At 51.3% G+C, this 23,092-nt stretch overlaps 1 protein-coding gene and 1 long non-coding RNA gene across 19 annotated transcripts in view, besides 3 other annotated features; one reads left to right on the top strand and one right to left on the bottom strand.

Moving 5' to 3' along the window:
* Positions 1–23,092, bottom strand: part of HOXB3 (homeobox B3) — a 41,372-nt gene that overhangs the window by 3,008 nt on the left and 15,272 nt on the right. For 4 of the 18 annotated variants that reach the window (XM_047435900.1, XM_017024560.2, XM_047435901.1 and 1 more), the window contains exons 2-4: positions 12,337–22,137; positions 3,654–3,741; positions 150–483 (exon numbers count right to left, since the gene is read on the bottom strand). In XM_047435900.1, the coding sequence (XP_047291856.1) occupies positions 150–483; positions 3,654–3,741; positions 12,337–12,803 (889 nt within the window). In that variant the 5' untranslated portion in view covers positions 12,804–22,137. Of the gene's footprint in view, positions 1–149; positions 3,742–3,847; positions 7,190–12,336; positions 22,572–23,092 lie in introns of those variants that run through there. The other 14 variants (NM_001384749.1, NM_001330322.2, NM_001330323.1 and 11 more) reach the window with 14 other exon arrangements.
* Positions 193–938: an enhancer, noted in NCBI's record as "H3K27ac-H3K4me1 hESC enhancer chr17:46629432-46630177 (GRCh37/hg19 assembly coordinates)". NCBI's record gives its function as "activates a minimal SCP1, AML or CMV promoter by ChIP-STARR-seq in naive H9 embryonic stem cells {active_cell/tissue: H9 hESC(naive)}" and the evidence as "EXISTENCE:reporter gene assay evidence [ECO:0000049][PMID:30033119]".
* HOXB-AS2 (HOXB cluster antisense RNA 2) lies at positions 4,280–10,100 on the top strand. The gene is made up of 2 exons (NR_046610.1): positions 4,280–5,481; positions 7,709–10,100. It is a non-coding gene; the product is annotated as an HOXB cluster antisense RNA 2 (long non-coding RNA).
* Positions 12,476–13,280: an enhancer, noted in NCBI's record as "H3K4me1 hESC enhancer chr17:46641715-46642519 (GRCh37/hg19 assembly coordinates)". NCBI's record gives its function as "activates a minimal SCP1, AML or CMV promoter by ChIP-STARR-seq in primed H9 embryonic stem cells {active_cell/tissue: H9 hESC(primed)}" and the evidence as "EXISTENCE:reporter gene assay evidence [ECO:0000049][PMID:30033119]".
* Positions 18,010–18,861: an enhancer, noted in NCBI's record as "OCT4-NANOG-H3K4me1 hESC enhancer chr17:46647249-46648100 (GRCh37/hg19 assembly coordinates)". NCBI's record gives its function as "activates a minimal SCP1, AML or CMV promoter by ChIP-STARR-seq in primed H9 embryonic stem cells {active_cell/tissue: H9 hESC(primed)}" and the evidence as "EXISTENCE:reporter gene assay evidence [ECO:0000049][PMID:30033119]".

Genomic DNA, 23,092 nt, shown 5'->3' on the forward strand with positions numbered 1-23,092 from the left:
AGGGGGTAGGGGTATCAAAAATGTACCCGCTGGCCACCTAATATTGTTCCCAGGCAGCCTCGCGGGCGCCTAGGGGCTGGGTGCTAGAATAACAGTGACATTCCTGGCTCCGACAAAAGCTGAGGACAAGGAAGGCAGAGAACTGGTACCTGTGCCGGGGGAGTTGTTTTTCAGCTTGGACGTTTGCCTCGACTCTTTCATCCAGGGGAATATCTGTTTGGTGAGGGTGGAGTTGGTGCCGGGACCGCACTTTGGGGGACCACTTTTGCTGGGCCCGCCCCCATTACTGCTGTTGCTAGTGGCACTGGTAGGTGCGGCACTGGGCGGGGGTGAGCCAGGCGGGGCCGACAGGGGCTCGGGGGCCAGACCCGGCCTCATGCAGCTGCCGTTGAGCTCCTTGCTCTTGGCATGTGGGGCAGCGTTGCCCAGGGACTGCAGCGAGCAAGCTGAGCGCTGGTAGTCGCCCTCCAGGTGCGTGGCGGCCTGAAATGGGGGTTGGGGGGGGACATCGAAGCCGAAGCCATTGCTGCCAGGGTACGAGGAATAGCCTCCGAAGAGAGCAGCCGCGGCGTTGTCGTAGTAGGTGGCTTTCTGCATCGCTGGGTGAGGCCTGGGCAGTGGGTGGCAACTTGGAAAGGCCTGATACCCTCAGGACCGGACATTGGCAACCCTGGGGGTCACGTGACACGCCGGACCCCCCCCCCCCACCTCCCCTCTCTGCCCCCCTCCTCCGGGGTCTGTTCCAAGCGGCTGACCTGCGAGGCGAGAGAAGAGACACAAGGGGGAGAAGAGGACTGGGGCTCGAATCCATCTTAGGAACTGAAAAGGGAACTGACATCAATAGGGTTTTTTCTTTTCCCCTCCCCAACATCTCCAAAGCAGATGCTGAGAAAAAAAAGCCCACCAGTTTTCATTTCCACTAAAAAATAAAAAAATAAATAAAGACTATATGCCTTTCAAGACTGCCTAGATGTAGAATCTATGGCAAAGGCCATTGCTTCTCTCCTGCCTGTGCACTAGCCCCTGACCTCCCCTAGTCCCTCTCTCCCTATCTCTCCTCCCCAACTCTGGGATAGGATGGCTCAAGGGAGGGGACACTAGGAGACTCCAAAATAAAAGCATCATCAACACCCTCCTCTGAGCCCAGAGGCTTCTATGCTTCCAGCCTTTGCCTCCTTCCAAGTCGGTTTAGGTCTCTTGCCCAAGCAAAGTCTAGCCTGAAGGAAAACCAAAGGATCTCCTAAAAGAACAGGCAGGAGAAGCAAGTTCAGCAGAGAAGCTTCTCTTGTGAGGTATCCTCTCCACTTCCCACCACTCTCCCACCAGGAAGACAACAACAGCCTGACCTAGAAACTTCCTGATGATTTTTAACCTCAAGAGCCAGCTGAACCGAGACTCATCTGTCCATGGCCCTGCTGCAGGTACCACCACCTCCAGCCCTTGTCTTTGCTCAGCCAAACCTGGGATCGGGCAGCCAGTGGCCCTGTGGGGCCCCCACATGGAGCAGGATTGTTTCAATTTCCTGGGCCACGCCAGTTGGTGCTGTGACCATTTGGCCCAGGTCTCTCCCCGGACCTCTTTTTTTTTTTTTCATGAGACTTAATTTTTCCCACCCTTTCCTTCACCGTCTGTTTTCTTTGATTTCCCCCAAAGCAAATAAGAAACAAGAAGTTACAACTGCTAGACTTTTCTACTGAGACGGGGAAAGTGCTTTCCAAAAGAGAAAATTATTCCTGAGGAAAAAAAAATTAACAAAGCAATTTTAACAATATTATTCTCTAGGTTAGAAACAGAGGTATTCCTGTTGACTGAGGTTCCCTGAGGCAAAAAAAAAAAATCACTATTTTAATACAGCCTTTTAAAAGTGTGCCAGAAAAATAAAGATTCAAACTAACATAGGATTTTGTGTATTTGTTCTGAAACTTCTGACTGCATTTTTTTCCCTCCATCTCTCCCAACTCTTCACCATCACTTTTCATAAAACCTCCATACTGCCATGTGTGTTTGGAAAACTTTAATCTCATTCAGCCTAGCTGTTCAACTCCAAAGAAAACTAAACATAGGAAAATAAAATAAAAGGAGTGCAGGTGAAGAAAAGTCCCTCCCTCACATAAATCCCCTTCTTCATGGCACAGATTTATACTCAAAAGGGAATCAGTGTAACCCTGAGTTCCGATTGGTTTCTGGAAATACACATGGGTCTGCAAAGCAGCAGGTCCTTCCAGGGAGAACCAGAGTTCAATTGACCAGGCTGACCCAATCCCTTTATTATTATTACCATTAGCCTCTGCTGATTTAACCAAAATTAGCTTCCAAGCAGCCCTGGCTGAAGGGGGAATTAATTAACAGGCATTAGTTGTGGTTGTTATTAATAGAGAAGAGAATGAAATAAAAACGTTGGAGGGGGTTGGCTGGCTAGGCCCTGGCTTTATTTAGTCTGATTGTTACAGCAATAATAATGATGACGATGATGATGATAGTAATAATAATAAAACAATAATTTAACTAGATGCCTGGGGCCGAAATTCCTGCCGCTCCCCTTGCAATAAACCCCAAACCATCGCGGGACGGAGGCCAGGCGAGTGTGGAAAGCGAAGGAGCCAGAGACGCGATAGGAAAGAATGGAGACTCCGCCGGTGGTGCAGACAGGGCTGGGAAGGTTTGTGCACCCGGGTAGTCCCTGGCTGCTGCTGCCAGGCTGCCTCAGCCGGTCGCTGCTGCCGCGGCGACTGGCGACAAGCTACCAGCCACCTACGATGGCCCAAGGAGGCGAAGAAGAGCAAGCGATCAGGACACCAAAACGGTTATCGGAGGCAGGTTCCCAGCACACCAGCCGGCCGAGGGCCGAGCCCCGCGGGCGGCAGCAAGTTTTGGGAGCTGGAGGTAACCGAATTAAAAGGCGCCTTAGAAACTCCGCTTCGGGACTTTGCTCAGCAGGGCTCCGGGTTGGAGGGCGCCGAGGCCTGGCGGACGGGACAGTGGGAAGAGAGAAAGGTGCTAAGGGGACCCAAGATCTGGGATCCAGAACAAGAGGGGGTGGGGAACAACTCTACCAAGCCAAACAGATCTATTTCCCTTGCCTCCATGTTGGAAAAATTCAGGTTCCATATGGCTCCTCGGGAGGGAGGGAGGGAGACGGTGGCTGCCGGCTTCCCCCCAGGGTCTCGCTGGAGAAGGGAGATGAGCCCCCCGCAAGAACCCCACCTTGCCAAGCACACCCCAGGGAGAGCCAGGAGAGTAACAATAGCTGGGGAAGCCCCGAGAGAGGGGATAGGCCATCTTCCAGGACTTAAAAAAATTAATGGGAGAAAGAAAAATAACAAGAAAGGAAGACAGAGAAAGGTTGAGACTTTCTTAGCAGCCGCGGAGAAAATTCAGCCCTGGATCTGGCTGCTGAAAGAAAAGAGAGAGAGGAGAAAAGAGGAGAGAAGCAGGAAGAGAGAGGGGAGAGAGAGAGGGAGAGAGAGAGAGAGAGAGAGAGAGAGAGGGAGGGAGGGAGGGAGGGAGGGAGGGAGAGAGAGAGTCGCTGCGTGGAAGGAAGCTTAAAGCTTGTGAACTCTTCTTGAACCGAGATTGGAGTCATATGGGCCATAAATCATTGAGACATACTCTCCGCCATTCACAAACTGATAGCCTATTTCAGTCCAGCTTACCTTAGCCACCGACGAGGGGAGAACAGGCAGACATAATATATATTCACATCGAGCCCCAGAGCGAGCGGCAGGCGACAAATCTCCCCTCCTTGAAGGCAAAGGAAAAAAAGACCACTGTTTAAAGCTGCGTCGCCCCCCGCCCCCCCGCCCCCGCCCCGCAAAGCCACCCCGGCTGGGGAGCCCGAGGGGCAGACCGGCCAGAGGAGCCGCGCGGCGTCCGCTTCAATTCACTCGGCTTAGGAGCAGGGGTGCGCAGGAGGGAGGGGGTGGGGGAGCGGGAAAAAAAATAGAAGACCGAAAGGTGCCGGGCGGCTCAGCTCGCCAGAATCCAGCTCCGGGCTCCAGCAGGGCTAAGCCGCCACAGTGTGGTTGCCCTATAAGACTGGTACGCCCTACTCTCCGTAACAATGGCCTCTGCTTTTGCACAGGGAAAAAAAACCACACAGACACACACACACACTCACTCACACACAAGCTCACACCCCCCCACCTCTCCCCCTTTAGCAAGCTTAGATGCCTGATAAGGAGGGAAGGTGATGGTGGTGATGGGGAAGGGGGGAAATTTTAAAATACCCGCCTCCCCAAAAAAAGAGTAAGAAGAAAAGAAGGAGGGTTTTTTTTTTTTCCTTAAAGAACAGGTAAAAATTTAAATCTAGATTGGAGGGACAGGGAGGAAGAGGTGAGCAAAGGCAAGGAAGGGCGGTGAAGTTCACAGCTCCCCCCATACCCCACTAGTGAACTATTATGCTAATATGAGAAGTAGTATTTGGAGGCTGAGTCAAAGGCAGGCCTGGCCCGGGGGTGAGGGTGCCGGGTGCCCCTCTGCACTCATTCGCAATTGGAACACCAGGACTTTTTTAGAAAGTAGTTCTGGGTCTCCAACCCTCACACTCTGGCTCCCTCCTTCTGAGTCTCCAGCCCCGGCTTCTTCCCTCCACTACACCCTCTCTATTCCTCCCAAATCTCCCTCCAGTCTCCAGGCCCAGTCTCTAACCAAGGGAGAGGGAAAGACCAGAACTTAAAAAAAAAAAAAAAAAAAAAACACCCCTCCCCCTTTTTCTTTTTGAGAACAGACAACAAGCGGTGAGTGATGATTTTAAAAACTCTGAACATCTTGCAGGGGGAGGAGGGTTGAGAAAAGGGTGACAAAAGGAGGACTCTGTGTTTTAGTTTGAGCTCCAGACTGGCTGGCAGTAGACGGGCTGAAAGAACTTCATGGATAAGTTTCTGTTATGATTCTCACCTCCGAATAGGCAGAAGGGGCTAAGAGGTGATAAGGACATTTGTACTTCTAAGAAGAGAAGAACTAGCAGGGTCGCTTAATTTTAAATGCACTGGCAGAAGAGATGGAAGATGGTTATTATTATTATTCAGAACAACCCTGTTTGTTTCTCTCTGCCCTGCAAGATTTATGACTCTTGGCACAAGTGAGGAAGGCCACAAAAGCTAAAGTTTTCTTAGGGTGTGTTTGAGCAGGGCAGGAAAAGGCAAGGAGGAGGCCTGTAGGAGGAAGACAGGAGCCAAAAATGTAGGTGTCTGCAGATTTGGGACAGGGGGTGGGGAATAGTCATTCCGGGAGGAAGGAAAAGACAAAAAGAGCACCAGGACATTTCCCAAAGCAGGAGTGTTTGCAACTCTGCCTAACTGCTGACTCGGAGCTAGGGGATGAAATAGAAAGCTGACTCTTTTCTCTAAAGGCAGCTTGGAAAACTGGTCCTCTTAACTTCATGTAAGGCACTACCCTGTGATTTCCTGGTTAGAATACTTGGCTTTTGCCTTCTCCCATCTGGATGCACCAGAAGAGGGAACGGGACTGGGGACAACAAAGGTGAGAGTTGATTTCCAGCTTTTGTGTTCCCTCCAGCATAGGTTGGAGGTGTCTGGCAAAGCTTCCCTCATTCCCTCTCTCTCCCCACTCACAGGCTCTACTTTGGGATGAGATAGGGAGTGGCCCCTGGCCTCCAGCCCCTACTTCTTCCAGGCAAGGCTAAGTCAGGCCAGGTGATTTGGAGCAGCCGGTTTCCAGGGGCCCTGATAAACTGGGGGTACCTATGGCCTTCCTGCCCTCCAGCAACAGAAGCCACTTGCAGAGCCTCAGAATGTAATGTCCTGAGGACCCCACCTCCCACCTAGAAAGTTGACAGCTGGGGGGAAGCACGGGTTGGGGGACATGGGGATGGAGGGTGGGAGCTATTTTTCTGTGTTTATTAGCTATTATTCTGTGTTTATTAGTATTTTTCTGTGTTTATTAGTAGTATCAAGAAAATAAAACATCCAAGTCAGACCTAGACTTGGGGCTCAAGCCAGCCTGGAACCCCAAAGAGACCTGTTAGGGGTGCCTGAGCATGTGGCTGCAAAAAGTCTGTCCTGAGATCTCTACACTCTGGTTAGAGACCTACAGGGTCAGACCCCATGTAACTTTGAGCTTGGTGGGTCAGGGACTCAGGCCAGGGAGGCTTCCAGAGGCTTAAAGAAACCAGTACCTTTGGGGTTTTTTTTTCTATCACTCCCCCAAATAAAAAAAAAGCCAAGAATGTACCTCAAAACCTCTGCTGTCCTAGCTGTTACTATCATTGGGTTAGAGAAGGTCATTGTAAAACTGAGAGAAGAGGAGAACCTGATCGCTTTTGGGACTGCGCAGCTTTGCCTCTAGGAATAACACGAGAGTCCAGAAGGCACCCAGGCAGCCTCGGGCCGGCTGCAGGAGAAGCGGGCCTGGAGCTGAGCTGGGAGTGGAGGAGTGTTCCAGAGACAACAGCAGACCCCTCCCTTCCCCAAGCCTCCTCAACTCTTTGTGGTCCCTCGGGCTACAGAAGGCAGTGGGGCATAGTGGGGTGGGAGTGAAAAAGAGGACCGAGAAGCAAGAAAATGAACCTGGAGAAAATCTCAGAGGACATATACCCCCAAATGCGGTAGGAGATGGAGTGGGGGCTTCTTAATTCTGGAGTACAGAGCCCATTTGGAATACTTGGGAGGCAATTAGATCCCAGTTTAGTTTCTGTCTTGCCTTTTTTCTTCCATTCTCAGAGGTCTCTGGCGAGCAGGCGGGCTGCCCTCTGATTAGGGCTGGGAGGCTGGAGGACGGAGGGTGGAACAGGCACCCCTAAGGGCCCCTGTTTGGACTGAGGTGTTGCTGCTAGCCAGGGGATTTTCAAACTTCAGGGGATAAAGGCTGGTAGTGAGGAGTTTGAGCAGGGAACTTGGGGTGGGGGACGCCAGAGCAGGCTGAGGGAAGACTTTGGGGTCTGGGAAAAGAGAAGCAGGAGAAGGGCTTATCATCCCTGAGAGTGAAGCCATGATTTCGGAACAGACTGGAGATACAGAAGAGGGAACAATTTCTTCTTGGATTTGGGAGGGAAACCTGGAAAACTGTGTGTGTGTGCCCATGTGTGTAGGGTGTGTGTGTGTGTGAGAGAGAGAGAGAGAGAAAGGAGGAGAAAGAGAAATTGAAAAAGAGGAAAATTGAGTAAGAGACAGAGACACTAGCATAAACTAATGAAGTAAAAAAATAATAAGGGTAAAGATTAGAGAAAATGCCCTTCTTCACAGACATCTTTTCCTCTTCCATTCCGTTTCTTCAGAGCCAGAGCACTCGCTCTGGCACTTCTCTCCCCCACCCCACTGGGTACCCAGTATCAGGCGACGGGAGCACTTTAAACCCTCTGGAACAATCAAGGGCTACCCGCCCTTCTAGACCTCGGCGGCGGGATCGTGCCTGTTTCTCTCCTCCCCCAAAAATGCATCAACTAGCAAACAAAAATTCTCTCAATAAGGGCATACTGGTTGGCTCTTTTAAAACCAATTTCTGATCTCAGACTTGGGGCAGTCAAGGATCCTGCCCCTGGCTCAATCCACACAAAATTTGCCTGGCCCAAAGGCTAGCTTGGGAGCTAGGACCTGTAAGCCTGGGGCGAGATGTTTGGCGATGTGTTTCTTCCTGGCCCTGTCTGGGTTCCCAGTCCCACACTGTTTTCCAGCTTCACTGCCCAACTTTGTAGCCCTAGAAAAGTGGTGTAAAGGTCACACACTCACCCGAATCTCCATTTTCCCCTAAGTATTAACGAAGATTTCAAAGCTGGGAGTTGTAAAGTGGGAATTGCTAATGAAGAAGGCTCTTGGCATTTGGATCCCCATCTCCAGCTCTCCAATAAGCCAGAGCAGGAGGGAACAAAGGGGCACCCGGAAGGGAGAAGAGGAGACTCGCATAGACACTGCTCAGCAATAGTGGGGATCAAAAGAAGAAAAAGGTCGCTGCAGTGGAAGAAGAAAAATCCAAGCTGTACTTTTTCCCCACCCCACGTGTGGGGGCGCTGCCCTCTCCCCAGCTGAGCCTGTGAAGGGGTGGCAGGACAAAAAGGGCAGCCACAAGGGTCTGCGAAGTCCACTCGATGACCACGGAGGCCGCCTGAACATGCTAATGAGGGGATGGCGGTGCTGCCAGCGAGTTGGGAGCCTCAGGCAGGTGGGCTCCTTGGTGGTGATAGATCCCAATCTGAATCAGGGCTCCCGCCTCACCTAGAAGCTCAGCCTTAGCCTGGCAAACCCCACCCCCAGCAAGTGTTGAGACAAAGGTGGGCAGAGCAGAGAAGGCAGAGGAAGGGAGGCTGCAAATCCTGGGCAGCTTGGGGGCTGCAGGGGGTGCTGGGAAAGGGAGGGAGAAGCAGGAAAAGAGGAACGGGCCCAGTCCCTGAGGTTCAGCGGGCCTCTCCTGACAGACTGGATGTTTCTCTCCCAGTGACCTCTGTTTAGCAGACAATAACTCAGTGGATTAATGACCAATCAGCGAAAGGCCTTCCGAATTGCCTCCAAATATAAAACTCCGAAGTCAGAATGGGACAGAGCCAGAGTCTGGGCCTGCCAGCTCTTTTGTTTTTTTTTTCTCTCTCAAATTAGTGTTTGGGGCTAGGCTTTAGGAAGTGGATTATCTGCCCAGTGTCTCAGATTTCCAGAGCCCCAAAGATGAGGTTGTTTCCCATCTCTTCCCATCTTCTTCTTCCCTCCTTCCCCGGAATTCATATTCCAAACCACACTTCCCAAGGCAGCCTGGAAACCTCCCCTCCCCTGCTAGCCTCTTCACATCCCTGATCCTGCAAGAAATTTCCTTGCTCACAACCATGCAATTGAGAAGCCACCACTCCTTTGGAACTGGGGGAGGAGCTGGAAAATAAAAGCAAGTATAGAGTGGGAGTCTTCCACCATGCAGGCCTTCTGTCCTGGCTACCCTAGAGGAGACCCGGTAGAGTGCTGTGGCACCCTGTGTGTGCTTCCTCCCAAGAAGCCAGGGCTCAGAGGCCCAGGGTTGGGGTGAGGCTGAGAAGGGAGGCACCTGCTATCACAGAATCTAAACTCTGAAACCACTGTTCAGTCCCTGGGCTGGGGTAGGGGGCACCTTAAAAACCACACTCTGTTGGGAGGCCGAGGCAGGCGATCACCTGAGGTTGGGAGTTCGAGACCAGCCTGACCAACATGGCGAAACCGTGTCTCCACTAAAAATACAAAATTAGCCAGGTGTGGTGGCGCATGCCTGTAGTCCCAGCTACTCGGGAGGCTGAGGCAGGAGAATCGCTTGAACCCAGGAGGCAGAGGTTGTGGTGAGTGGAGATTGCACCATTGCACTCCAGCCTGGGCAACAAGAGCGAAACTCCGTCTCAAAACACACACACACACACACACACACACACACACACACACACACACTGAACAATGACAGCCTTAGCCCAGTGCCTGGCAGGGAAAGACTCTTGCTCAGTAAGGCCCAGCCCTTCTTTACTTAGCCCTTCTCCAAATGCCAATCTCAACCCAACCCAGCTAGCTGGCCCCTCACCACTTCCTTCTAGTTCCACTGCTCTCCTCAGGGCTACTCCTCAGCTGAGAATAAGGGCACCTTCAGAAAGAGGAATAGTCCAGATTCCAGTGGATTTCCTAGAGCCAGACTGAGTAAGCATCCACTGCTCTGGGTGTATGTAAACTCTGAATATTGCAAATAAACATGCAGTAACTTCTATACCCAGATGCCCACAGAGCTCCAGGACACACAAGGGAGTGCCTCCCATGCACTGTCCTGCTGAGGATGGGTACACACAGAGGTGCCCAATTTCAGAACAGGAGAGAAATCAGGAAGTGTCCAGTCCAACTCTTGCCATTGTTACAGATCAGGAAACTGAGGCCCAGAGCAAGGAAGTGATTTGTCTAGAGTCATACTTGGGATAGGCTTGGGAGTTGGAAGGCCTGAATTTCAGATGTTCCAGCTTGGCTATGTGACATGAGGCAGGGCACTCCTTGGGCCTGAGTGTCCCCTTCTGTAAAGCCTGGGCATGTGTATGGAGGGAAGGGGTTTAGCTAAATGATCTCTAAGGTCTCTTTTTGGACTGAATGTTAGTGATTCTCCATGTGCTGATGTAAAAGTGAGTGACAAGAAGTAATAAACTGAGTTCAGACAATAACGGGCACCATCGTCACCAGATTCAGAGTATTTCCTCTTGAGGTTTAAATGCTTACCACCACTGAGCACCAACCCGATGCCTGGCCCTCCCTTGCCCCATAGAGGCTCATGCACTGCGTTTTACTGCTCTTCTGTGTGTAGGGTGGGTTGTTTTCTACCCTCATTACCAAACCAAAAGTGCTATATTTAGACACTGCAACTTGAGCAGTAAATAATTAATTAGTCTAATTAAAGGAGGAAGGTTTCAACCTGGCAATTTTTAACCAGGCATCAATGCACCCATTGTACCAGCCGAGCCCTCTCACCCGACCCCCTCCCTGCCCATACACCTACCAGCCTTCCCAGTTGCCTCCCCCTCAGTTGGAGACAAGCATTCCCCCAGATGGCCAGCAGGGTCCACAGGGCCAGACTGTGTCCCTCATGACAAAGTTCCACGCTCTGCTGTGCTTCCCCATAGAAATAGGTCTGCCGGCAGCTGCACCTCAAAGCTTGCTTTCCCTACCCCCAAAGCTGTGCTGGGCTCCAGGTCTCTGCTCTCTGCTCTTGGGAAATGTGTAATCTACCTCCCCAGCTCAAGATGCCCCAACAATGCAGCGAGTTTGCATTTCAAGAAACTCCCATTAATATCAATTTACTTCACTGAAACCTCGGGTTCTTCATCAAGTTGATGATTTATGATAAAATCAATTAAATTACGGCCACTTAGGGCCCAGCCGCTTCCTCTCAGATTTCATTGGTGCGGGGCCCAAGTGTCTGGTGGAAAAATGCAAGTTTAGCTGGAGGCGAGGAAAGATAATTCTGCGGCTGAGAAAATTTAATGCAAAACAATTTCCAGGCAAAGCTGGGTGTCTGGACAGAAATGCAAGAGCCACTAGTTGGCCTGCGGAAATTACTATCTGGGGGTCAAAATGTTTTTCTCCCCACCGCCATCCTCCTGCATGGCTCCCTTACTCTGCTCGTCTTTGTATTATTCACTTGCTCCCCACTCCCAAACAGAGATTTTGGGGGAATTCGAGCAGTAATGGTGGGACACAAGGCTGCCAAGGTCCAGCCTCAAACCACGGATCTCCCCGATCTTCCCTACCACACCAAGCCTTTTCTCCTTTTGGCCTCCCCTCCTCAACCAACCATACTCACTAATTCCTTGGCTTCCCACCACAAAGTTAAAAATTCAAAGTGAAGATGAGGCTGGGTGGGCAGAAGGCACAGGAGGCACACAGGGAAAGGGTAGAGGGGCAGGGGCCAGGAGGCCAGGCCAAGTGGGCTCTGCTGCATGTGGCTGCGGGAAGAAAAAAGCAGGAAAGAGCACTACTTCGTGGACAGGACAAGGGGCAGTGTGTCTAGAGCTACCTCATCCCAGAGTTCCAGAACCAGAGAACATGGGGTCTCTCTCCTGACTCCCAATCTCCCAGCTCACAAAGTGATTCTGCAAACCCATCCGCAAAGCCCCACCTGGAGTACATACAGCTCCCGATGTGCAGATGCACTCACACAATACACAAACATACCTACACATGTGCCTGCTTACATGCTCCCTTTGCATACACCCACCACACTGTGCGCCTGCAAAGGGACAGTTCCCACTATTCTCCCTCATCTGGGAAAATAAATCCCAGTGCGTCAGGCTGGCATCGCTTCCCACTCCAAGGAGAGGGGCTTCTCTGGCCTCTGCTCTGTTTGGTTTTTGGTTTCCAGAGCAGGCAGGAGTAAACACAGCTTCTCTGAAGCCATAAATCACCCCCTTTCCTACCTTCTGGGCTTAACACTCAGCCTCAGTGCAATCCCTTGTAGTTTTGCCTTCAAATAACCCGCTAGGTGCTAAAGGGTTGGGCAATGGTGGCAGCTGGGTTGTGGAAGCTGACCCAGCGGTCGCCCCCCAACCCCACTGCCCCTAACAGATGCCCCTCACATTTCCCTCAGTACCCACAGCCCCCAACTGCCCTGGAAAACCCTCCTGGGCCTCAACGCCCTTTCTGAGCGGGAGGGCTCTCCCATCCCCTAACAAGATCATGTCCACACGCCCACCCAAACAGCTCCACATTCCTCCACACTCGTCCTCCACCCCCAGGTCCCTTTACCCCCTTGAAGCCCCCACCCTGCCTTTCAAAGTTGCTCTCATCTTCGTCTTCAATTCGGATCCCGGCCTGTCCCAGGAGAGAGGCCTGGGGGCGGGGGTCTCAGCCACCCACCTCTGCACCCCCGCCAGGCCCCGAGCGCCCCGGCTCCGCACCCCACACTTACCTGTGCGGTCTTCCGCTAGGGCGCGGGCAACGGCGGGCGGCCGGGCGCTGGGTGCGCGCGGGGGCCGACTGCCAGGCCCCGGACCCTCGGCCCAGGCTGGGGCTCCGCCGCCGCAGCCAGCCGCATCCTAGTCGCTCAACCCGCAGCAACCCCCAGCAACCCCCGAGCGTCCCGCCGAGCTGGGGGAGAGGCCCGGATGCGCTCGCCCCCACCCCGCCCCCGCCCCCGCCCCCGGCTTTGTTCGGCCTCCAGGGCCCCAGGAGCGCGCGGATCTGGCACTCCGGGCGCGGCAGACGCCAGTTTCCTGAGAAGCTCCCACTCCGTCCGGGCCGCGCAGGGCTGCGGGAACCCCGGGCTCGTCTGGCACCGAGCTGAACTCGGGCTTTGAGAGCGGGCCAAGTTGCCAGGCGAGAGGAGCGGCAACTGACAGGGGCACGGCGAGGCGTAGGGAGCGCCGGGGGCGCCATGGCGGAAGGCGGGCACACCGGCGACTCTTCAATGTCACCAGCGAAATGGGTTCCATATGTCCGACCCGGCAGAGAAGGGAGGGGAAGGGAGAGAGTTCTGGGCAGGACAGGAGTGGGGACAGGGAGGGCGGCAATGGAGGGAACAGAGCAATGGCGAGGGGGCAATAGGAAGGATCAGACGGGCGAGAAAGATTTGCATCTCCCCTTTTCCCTCGAGTTTTCTAAAGCTGCTTAGGCTGGTAGGAACTTGCTTTCTCTTTTTCCTTTTCTTGTTCTTTCCTGTAAGATGGGGGAGGAAGGAGATTAGTAGGGGAAGCATCCGCTTGTTAAGGCTGGGAGTTTGAGGGAGGAGATGTGGAATGGAGGTGAAAGTTCTTAGGCGGCTGGAAGATCAACAACTTCCCCAGGTCCCTAGAGAAAAAAAGAGACCAAACCCACAAGGGGGAAGAAAAGCCAAGAAAGGATTCCAGGGTCCAGGTGTGAAAGTCCCAACTCCCCCCACCCCCATGATGAAATTCTGTTTGGGGAGGTCCCAATGATTAAGTTACTGATGCTGGTGATTGTGGTGGAGGCTGAAGTGTCCTGGACATCTTGGCCATTCCCTGGCACTTCAGCTCCTGCCACAGCTGCCTCACACCTGATTTAGCACCCCCAAGGGCCTACTCTAGAGGCAGTTGTTTCTGAGATGGCCTGGGCTTTGGGCAGCTTCCTGTAAAGAAGGCTGCTAGGGAGCAGGGAGCCTGGAGGGGCTTCCCTCTGTGCCTGCTCCCCAAAGGGTTTGGGCTTTTTTTCTGTGTTGGGTCTCTCTGTCTTTTCTAACCATCTCTGTTGTCTCCGTTCCTTTCTCACAGCCCCTTTGTCTTTTTCCAATTCTGCGTCTCTCAGTGTCTTCAGTGAATTTGAATTGAGCCTTGCAAAGGATTTAGGAGTGTCTCCAGAAATCACTTCTGGGCTCACCCATTAGGTTGAGTCTCTTCTTCCCTTTCCTCTGTGGGGGAACCCACCCTCTATCCAGAGAAATTCTCTTCTAGAGAGAAGGGGACAAAAGGGGTAGTTTCCTTCCCACTGCCCTTGTTCTCACTTAACTCTGTGTGTGTGTCCCCTTGTGAATTGTGGGGCTCCTTCCTCCAGGACAGCCTCCCTTCCCCTCTGACTGGCCTTTGTTTCCACTCTCCCTGTCATCACCTCCTTGGGCTCAGCCTTGACTTCCCATCCCAGAAAGGGATCCTGCTGCTTGTTCTCTCTCTGGGTCCCTCTCTTCCTCATCTCACTCTTCATCTTTCTATCCAATTCCTCTGGTCACTAAAGCGTTAGCAGCCTGCCTCCTTAAAGGCACAGAGATAAACACTGCAATTATATAGAGAGGATACCAGCAGAGAGTTAGGGGAGAAGACAGAGTCAGCAGCTTTCTTAGAGCTCTGTCTACCAGATGCATTCTATCCCAACCCCTGAACAACACAAAAGCAAATCAGTGGGGTGGAGGGTGCAGGACTGGTAAGAGACAGGGTGCTTCATAGCTAAATGAAGCAAATGTATATATAAACAACAAAGTCCTTTCAAACTTGCTGATTTGGGGTAGGCCTAGATGCCTGGATGGAAGGCATTAGGCATCACATGGGGGATTTACCAGATAATGGTGGCAAGGGATGGTCCCCTTGCTTTGTCTCCTGGGGAAGAGTCTGTGCGTGTTGGGGAAAGGGAAGGGGAGGGGGTATCAGTGTCACCTCCTCTCCTCTGGGCCAGAGGAGACAAAGACCTGAAGAGGGCTGAAAGAATAAAGAGGAAAAGCTGGTGGAGTGGGGGTGGGGGTGGTTGGTCAGACTTCCACGTCACAGGCAAAGGTAGCAGCAGGAGGGGAGATGGAAAAGGGTTGGGGAGGAGGAGTTGCAAACGCAGGGGGAAGGGGCCTGTGGGACTGGCTCTCCATGCTAGCTATGGGCTGGCCCAAAGAGCAGATCCTTTTCTTTCCCATCTTTCAAAGCATGCTGAATTCAGAAGCTAATACAAATGATTCTACCCTCTTCCTTCTCTGTCATGTCCCTCCTCCTCCCCATGGAAGAAGTGATCCTTCCCTGCTCTCTCAAAAACTCCAAGACTTTGCCCTAACTCTGGACCACCGGTTTGAGGGAGAACGCACCCTCTTCACAGTCATACCCCCCAACACTTTCCAGATGAGGGAGAAGTAGAACTGCTTGCCTCTCACACTGAATGTGTGTGGGATTCTCCAACACTCAAGGAGTGGGTGGGGAATGAGACTGAAAGGTTTGGAGCCCCTATGCCCCAGGTCTCTTTGCTGCCTCTGCCAGCCCTTCCCACCTCCTCACAATCTCCAGTGCTGTCAAAGCTGCCCCTGTATCCAGACTTTTCCCTAGTTCTTTTTATCCAGGTCAGACAGTGCCTCTACCCATCCCAGCCTTGGGTCCTGGCCTTCTCTTTCTCCCCAAACCCTTTTCAACTGAGACTCCTGAATTGGGAGGCTTCACCCACTACCCACTGAGAATCCCTTGTTAACATGGATGAGACTCAGTGTTCACTTGGAGCAGAGTGTGGGAGCGAGCTCCTGGATGCTGCAGGGACTGGGGCCTAAGCTGCCACTCCACGTAGTGGATGCCATGAATAATTAACACCTGGGCGCGGCGTTGCTCTAACTTCCCTGCTCAAAGGTTTACACTAGCAGGCAGAGTTAAATATCACAGATAATCGTGGCTATAAAGTCAGTTGGCCTGGCTCCAGTCAGGGAATGAGGGGCCAACAGCTGGGACTGGAGTTGGTGAAGGCTCTGGCCCTCTGCACCTCATCCATCACAACTTTGGGGCACAGTGCAGAACATTCCCCAAAGCCACCTCTGGCTTTGCTCTTGACCAGCAGCCTCTCCCCTAGTAGGAAGGAACTGTGACCTCCACATGAAACTATAGGAGAAAGTTAACAGCTCTTCCCCTCCCTCTCCAATCTGCACCCCGTTTGCTCCCTTTTTGGATGGGGACTTAGTTAAAAGAACACACCCAACATCCTCCAACACTCCCAACTTTCTGGGACCACCTGATTCCTAGAACATTTCTTTTCTAGAAAAACTTCGGAGAACTTCTCCCCACTTTAGCCCCAAACACAGAGTCCCTCACTGCTGAGGAAACTTTTCTTTGTTTCAGCAGGTCAAAGGAAGGCTCCTGGGGTGTGAATTCATTTCCTTGTTTTGTTAGCCAGGAGGGTGGGGAGCCAAAGCTTTCAGCTTCTCTCCCTGCCCTTCACCCTCTGCTTGCCTCCATTGTCTCCCCCAATTTGGGTGATTCCTTTTCCACCTTTGACCACCCCCCAGACACATCAGTCCTATAAATTAAGCTTTAATAATGTAACGGAACCCCTCCCATCCCTTTCCAATTGCACAGAACTTTGATTTGGTCTCCATTGATCACAAAAATATTTGCCTTCAACTCCAGTAATTTCTTTCTCCACTTCCACCTCTCTTACTCTAAGGCTCCTTCTGCCTTCAGAGTTGGGTTTGTTCATCCAGGGCTGGAGTTGGAGAAGCCAAACTCCTGGAGGGGAGCTGCTAAAAAATGGAGCTCTGTCTGCTGCTGCAGGAATGTTGGCTCTATCAGGCTCACAAATATAATTTTTATATTAGACCATGGTCATTGACTGGGTTTATATGCCAATGAGGCATTTCTGGTTTACCAAATTTATGAAAATCTCGCTTTAATTGATAATCACAGATGCTGTAATTTAAGACCTCCAGCTATAGAGCTTTCATATTAACTGCTGATATATTACTGTAAATCGTCTGAAATAACCAACTCCTGGGAGCAGAGCAGAGAGGGAGGAAGTGCCTCCGAGAGCGACTCTCTCCCGGCCGGCCGCAGAAACAGCCCAGCTTCCACATCATTTTCCGTGAAAAATGATTTATCGAAGACATGGCCATAAACAACACAACTCGCTCACAAACACACGCAGACGCGCACGCACACACACGCGCGGACACACACACACACAATGGCTGGCATGCCGGCTGAGAAGCTGACACCCATATTGCTATAAATCAAGAAAAAGGTTGGAGGACAGAGGGAGAGAGGGAGAGGGAGGGAGGGAGAAAGAGAGAGAGAGAAAAGAAGAATATTCCTAAAATCTCTATGCAATGCCTCAATGGGCATAAACACACAGAGCACCGTGTGAAGAGAAATGGCAGGAAATGAAGATGGCTATTTGTCACATTTTACGACAATAACATTAATAACAAACAATAAATTTACATGGACATATAAGACGCGGTAGGTAGTGAGAAATCCCTTCTACTTACAATACCCCAGCCCGCGGTGTGGCTCCGGCTGCGGGGCTGTTTTATTGCTGTCTCCCTTTCTTTCTCTCTCTCTCTCTCCCTCTCTCTCTCCCCCCTCTCTTTTTTTTTCTCGGGGTACAGGCTTGTTTTTCAAAGGACAGTTGAATTGCACGTCAGAAACAGGGAGACCGAGCCTGCGATTTTCCTGACGAATACATATCTATTCTGCAACCTCGGCATTAATTATTTAATGAATCACGTGACCGGGAGGGGGAAGGGGGTCTTTCGATTTCAGGCTCAAAGGACCACTATGACCTTCCCCTTCAGGAGGAGAAATTTTCCTGCAAAATAAGTTCCCCCTCAACCCACCAATGGAACAGTAGTGAGGTCTCCGTCTGTCTCCCACACTCACATCCATACCTACTACATCTGCAGCTCCCTAACCCCCATGGACACACACTTACCCACAGCCCACCTCTCCTCTCTCCCTTCTCCTCCTGCTTCTGCTTAGTTCGTGGAGGTGCAGAAATAGTCTGCAGGGGCGTCTAGGGGGTGGGGGTGGGGTGGGCTCAGAGCCCTTCTCCAAGCCCCTGGATTTCTCAGCTTCCAGTTCTTCTCTCTGCATCCTTTAGGATTAAGGTTCCCTCCCCAACTCCATTTTTTCCCCAACTCCTGGGGATATTTACTTGAGTGAGACCCACTCCCTCTCTTCCTAAATAATGGACAAAATTTCTGAAGGAGCCACTTTGAAAATAAACACTTCATAAGTCCATGGTATAAGTGGATAAATAATGGGGCTTCTGGCTTTATTCTCGTTTTGATCTTTTCTGGTACCTTTTGAAGGGGCAAAAAAGGGACAGGGTGAAGAGATTACTCTGGAGCTTCCAGAGTTGAGAATAACCGCAAGGGGGACTTTTTTCCCTGTTGTGTTGTTACTACTATAGGAAATCAAATGCGACTGACCGTTTGAAAATAGATTCTAGAGACAAAGACTGGGACTAAGGTTTCTACACAAAAGAATCGGACTGTCAGCCTCTCTCTACCTATGTCACACCCTGTCTCATTTCCCCCCCTTCCCAAACCCACCAGTGAAGACAGCTGGAGATTTGAACAGGAGAGGAGGGAAAAGAAAAGAAAAGCTTTGAAGTCAGCCTGGCAGCCCCAGGATCCCTATTTCCCAGGTGTTAGCACCCCGAGCTTCCAATCAACAAACAATGGAGGCTGATCAGTGGGAAAAAGATGGGGGATGGCTATGCCTGTTAAAGGGTTAAATACCAGGGACTATCTATTCCCCAGGCCTAAAGAGAGAGACACACACAGACCCCTTCAACTCAAATATAAACAAAATAAAACAAAAACAACCCCCCATCCAAACTTGACCAGTTACGTGCAACTAGAATCAGAGTTCTCGGCCGGGGCATGGGATGGGGGGTGGGGATGCAAAGGGAAGCAGAAAAGACATTCCTGAAGAAGTCGCAGCCTTATCTGTCCTCAGCAGCTCTGGAGGCAGCCAGGACCACAGCCTCCGGGGCAGGCAGGGAATCCAGGAAGAATGAGCTTCAGGGTACGGGAGCAGGGGTCTGAGGGGCCTCCCCCGGCTTGTTCGAAGGGGTCTAAACCAAAAGCAACTCAGTGGAGAGAAGGTTGAGGACCCGGTTGTCTTAACAAGCCCCAAAGAAACAGCCACCCCGGTGTCGGCCTCGGAGGTTCCAGCTACAGTGGCAGCTGCACAGCTTCTGCCCCAGCTAAGAGCACTGGAATCTGCTCTGGCCTCATGGGGTGGGGGCGCCGGCCAGGCCTGGACTCTGTAGGGGAGGTGGTCAGCTTTGATTGTCCAGATACAAAACACAGACTGGTATTGAATTCAGCCTGATCCCGATGTGGGCCCTGCTCCCGGCTCCAGCGAGGGCAACTCCCTGAAACGTTCTGGCCACAAATCCATTAAAAATGGTCCTCCAGAGAAAAACACTCTGCTAAAGTCTAAAATGAAAATAGAGAGAGAGCAGAGAGAGGAGAGAGAAATGCTGGATGTGGGAAGACAGCAATCTCTAAAACGGAGAAATAATTTTTAAGGACAAGAAAAAGAACAGCAAAATGACACGAAGGCACGCCAGCAGGTTCTGTTAAAATGACCATACTCTTTTCGGATCCTGGGAATGTCCACGTTCAAATAAACAAGCGCCTGATCGCGAGCCGAGCACTTTCTTGCTGCCGATAAAGCGAACGTTTACACTGTGAGAAAGGCGAGATTGATTTACGAATCTGAACGCGCCAGTTTTATGGCTGATCACAAATCCGTCAGCGCTCAACTCACGCTGAGAAACTTCCCAACTCCGTTTTCCAACCAGACCCCCTCCCCAGCTGCCGCTTCCCAGGGAGACCCACTGCCAGCGCTGGGGCCGCCTTCAAGGGCTCTGGCAGAACTGGGCAACCCCCTCTGCCCAGGACAGGCGGGTGGAAGTAGGAGGGAGAATGGGGAGGGCCGAGGGAACTGGGGAGAAAGAGGGAAAGAAGTCAAAAGGTTGGGAGGACTGGAGTGGCACTAGGATTGTCTGGAGTGAAGGAAATGGGAGATCTGGCAGTTCCCCTTAGTGAACCCCAGGCTTCCCTGACTATGGTCTCTCTCCTTTTCCCTTTGGTGGGCCCTAATCCTCACATTGCAGAAAGCAGTTTGTAAAGTCCTCGGCGACTAGGTCTTTGTCACTTGAGCCTGTAGAAGGCCCACAACTGGCTATCTGCCCTTACAGGTAATGAATACACATCTCCCTGAGCCCCATATATTTTTAGTCCAGGAGCAGCCTAGCTAGCTTTGTGCTCATCCTCTGTCTTTCCTGAGGCCTCCAGCCCCTCTACTTATGCCACCCAGGGACAAAGGAGAGAGTATCAACCACTCCAGTTATTTCTTGCCTGAGATAGAGTCCCCAAATGTCAAGAAACAATTTACAAAATGCAAACCAACAACCCACATATCCCAGCAAGGTTCTGTCTCTCCTAGTCTTAACTGAAGGGTAACATTTCATCTTCCCAGCCAGCGTCTGTCTGTATCTGTCTCTCTTTCTCTTTCTCTTTGTCTCTGTCTCTCCCTAAGAGGGTGGCTGCTGGTGTGGATTTTTAAGATACAGCAAACAGAATACAGTTTTTGGAAAGGCTCTATGTTCAGGGCTCACTGTTTGGCAAATCCTTCACCTATTTCTTAAAAGTTTCTGGAAACTTTGGCTAACCTGGGACAGCAGGCCCTGGAAAGTACTCAGAATAGCCTGCACTGATCCTCCTCCCATTTCCCTTGCTCCTCTGGTGGGTGAGGCACTCCAAGGGCTTTTTTCATTATTGAGGAGATTGAGAATTAGGGGAAAGAGGTAAAGGTAGTTATAGAAATAGCTTCCTCAACAAATGAACTTCAGAAAATGGGTTGACAGGCTGTGGATTTGGATGTCAGCCCTCAGGGAGATGACAGCCTCTGAAGCAATGTTCAGGGCGGATAAGCCCTTTCTCTCCTCGCAGCCCAGGAGTTTATTCCCCTGGCCCTCTGAAGCCTTGTGGATTAGGCCCCTCCAACCTCTCATATCTTCTCCCTTTGTCTTTCTTCCCTCAGTTCCCTCCAGGTGAAATAGTAAAGAGATGAACTGGACCTGGGAGTGGTTGCGGGGAGGATGGCTGGAGCCTGGACTGCTGAAGGTGCTGTGTACAGAGAGACAGATTAGCACCCTACTTTCGTCCCCCAACTGGACCCTTGGGCTAAAAATCTTTACGTTTTTTTCCCCCAGTGGGCAGTAATAGAAAAATAATCCAAAATTTCCAAAATAGCAAAGATGGGTTTGGGGCCTAGAGGGGGATGGAGAAGATGGGACATATGATGGGCCAAGGACCCCTCCCTGCAGAGGTGTGACTCTCCCTCCTGGGCAGGAGGCAAATGCCAACACAATGTCCAGTCTCAGCGAGGTCAAGGGGCTTCCGAGGTCATTTTGTGGTTCTAATACTGAGCTAATCGCCTAGAAAACGTGGCCTCTCCATGAACTCTCTCTCCTGCCAGCCTCCCGCCTCCAAACCCTAAGTGAGGCCTCAGGGAAAAAGGGCCAACACATTCAGGTCGGCTGCAGAGCCCACTGACTCCCTCAGCCTAAGAAACAGGGCTGCAGAGGAGAGAACAGAGACCTCAAATTAGGAGAGCAAAGGGAAACCAAACCAAACCAAACCAACATTGCTCCTCCAGGAAGAAGGCTGGGGGGACAGAGCAGAAGAGAAATATTTCTGCATCAGTCCACCTTGTCTGTGAACTGAGCAGTTTCCTGCTCCAGAGAGTAGCACATATTTGTCTAGAATCCCAAGCTAGACACAAGAAGAAAAAAAAGAACATATCCACTTATACCCGCTCCAAAGCTGGAACATTCCATCCAAGCACTGGATTTGATTTTTCCAAGAGGCAGCAGTGACAACGTCTCACTGGTAAACAGGCATAGGGGACACCAGTACCCAGTGTAGACAAGCAGAGTCACAGGAACACACCGACCACATGTGGACCTCACTAGACACACCCATGCACACATGCTGGGGCTCGCTGTGCCTGCCTGCATTTTCCAAAACCAGAAAAGCGCTTCTGAACTGCCTCACAAAACAACCGTCTTCTCTGGGGTTTTTCATGGGCCCTGACACCTCAGTCCCAACCAGTTCAAACACTCTCCAGGTGTCGAGGCCCCTCTTTCTCTCCCTCTGACCCAAGCATCAGTCATCATAAAAGGGAGCAAACCTGCTGAAGCATCCACCATAAAAACCCAGCCAAGAAAGTTAAAAAAGAAAAAGGAAGAGGCGAGAGAGTGTTTCTTCTTTCAGTTGTGAAAAGAGCTCATAAAACGATCAAAACACGCCAGCCCGGGCCCGGGCTTTGTTACCTTTGCGCCTCTCGCCTCCTCTCGCCCGAACTCTGCAGATCCCATTCATGACGAAGGGCTTCTTCCAAACTGAGAGAAAAAAGTTTTCAACTTTATGGTTCCAAATTTTTTCCCCCTTGCAGATCCGGGAGAGACGGCTAACACTTTTTTCCCCCAACAGCCGGTCCAAGGAGATTTGCTGTTGAATAATAACAAAGGAGAGAGGATACGTATTTAAAGAAAAGAAGTGATTAATGGTTTTCTGTATAATTCTCACATTTTTCTTAGCTCTTGTCTACACAGAATGGCTGTGAACTTTAAGCTCCATAGAAATCTTTTTTTTTTAAATTCTATTCATACCTTCCAAAGAGCAGCTTTGATTTGGTTCTTTAGAGACATTCCTTAGGGGGGCATATGCTTTTTAAGAACTATTTTCCCCCTCAACTGGGGCTGCGGCATCCCCTTGCAGCTAAACCACCACACCGCAATCCGACCGAAATAAAGCTCGCCCCTCTCATCCTCCAGGTCCACGATGATTTTTTTACGAGTCTCCCAGCAGCATTTAAACGGACAGTTCAGCAGCTCTTTTGCGGCTGGGGACACCGGCCTGTCGGTTCCCCCTGCCCTACCCAGCCTCCAACTACCGGAGCTGCAAGCTGGAGGAATGCAAAATAAATAACAATAAAACGCGCGGGTGGGATTGGTTCTTTTTATTTTCTGAAAGGAGATGGGACTGAAAAAACGACTTTTAATTGCATATGCTCTCCCGAGCCCCGAGCTTTTTGGAGATGTGGTGGCTGCACCCTGGATGACCAATAGACCAGAGACCCTGAGGCTGGAGCCCCCAGACCTTAGAACTTCCAAGCAGTGCTGCACAAAAGCAATCTGAGCCTGACAGAGCTTCTGAGGGTCACCTGCACCCCTTTCCCCTACCCCCACTCCATTCTAGGGGTGACTGGGACCTCAGAGACAGAAAGCTATTTGGTCCCCAGTCATACTTTCGATACTTTCTATGAGAAAGAAAATGAAAATTAATACTGGAGCAAGGCTTCACAAAAGAGGCCATTTGTCTTCTTGATTATCTATTTGCTTGTCAGAGTTTGAGCTATGGCACTGGCTAGCTTCTTTGTAATATAAAAATACTCTGAAAACCT

Source organism: Homo sapiens, chromosome 17 (assembly GCF_000001405.40).
Source record: "Homo sapiens chromosome 17, GRCh38.p14 Primary Assembly".
Taxonomy (NCBI): domain Eukaryota; kingdom Metazoa; phylum Chordata; class Mammalia; order Primates; family Hominidae; genus Homo; species Homo sapiens.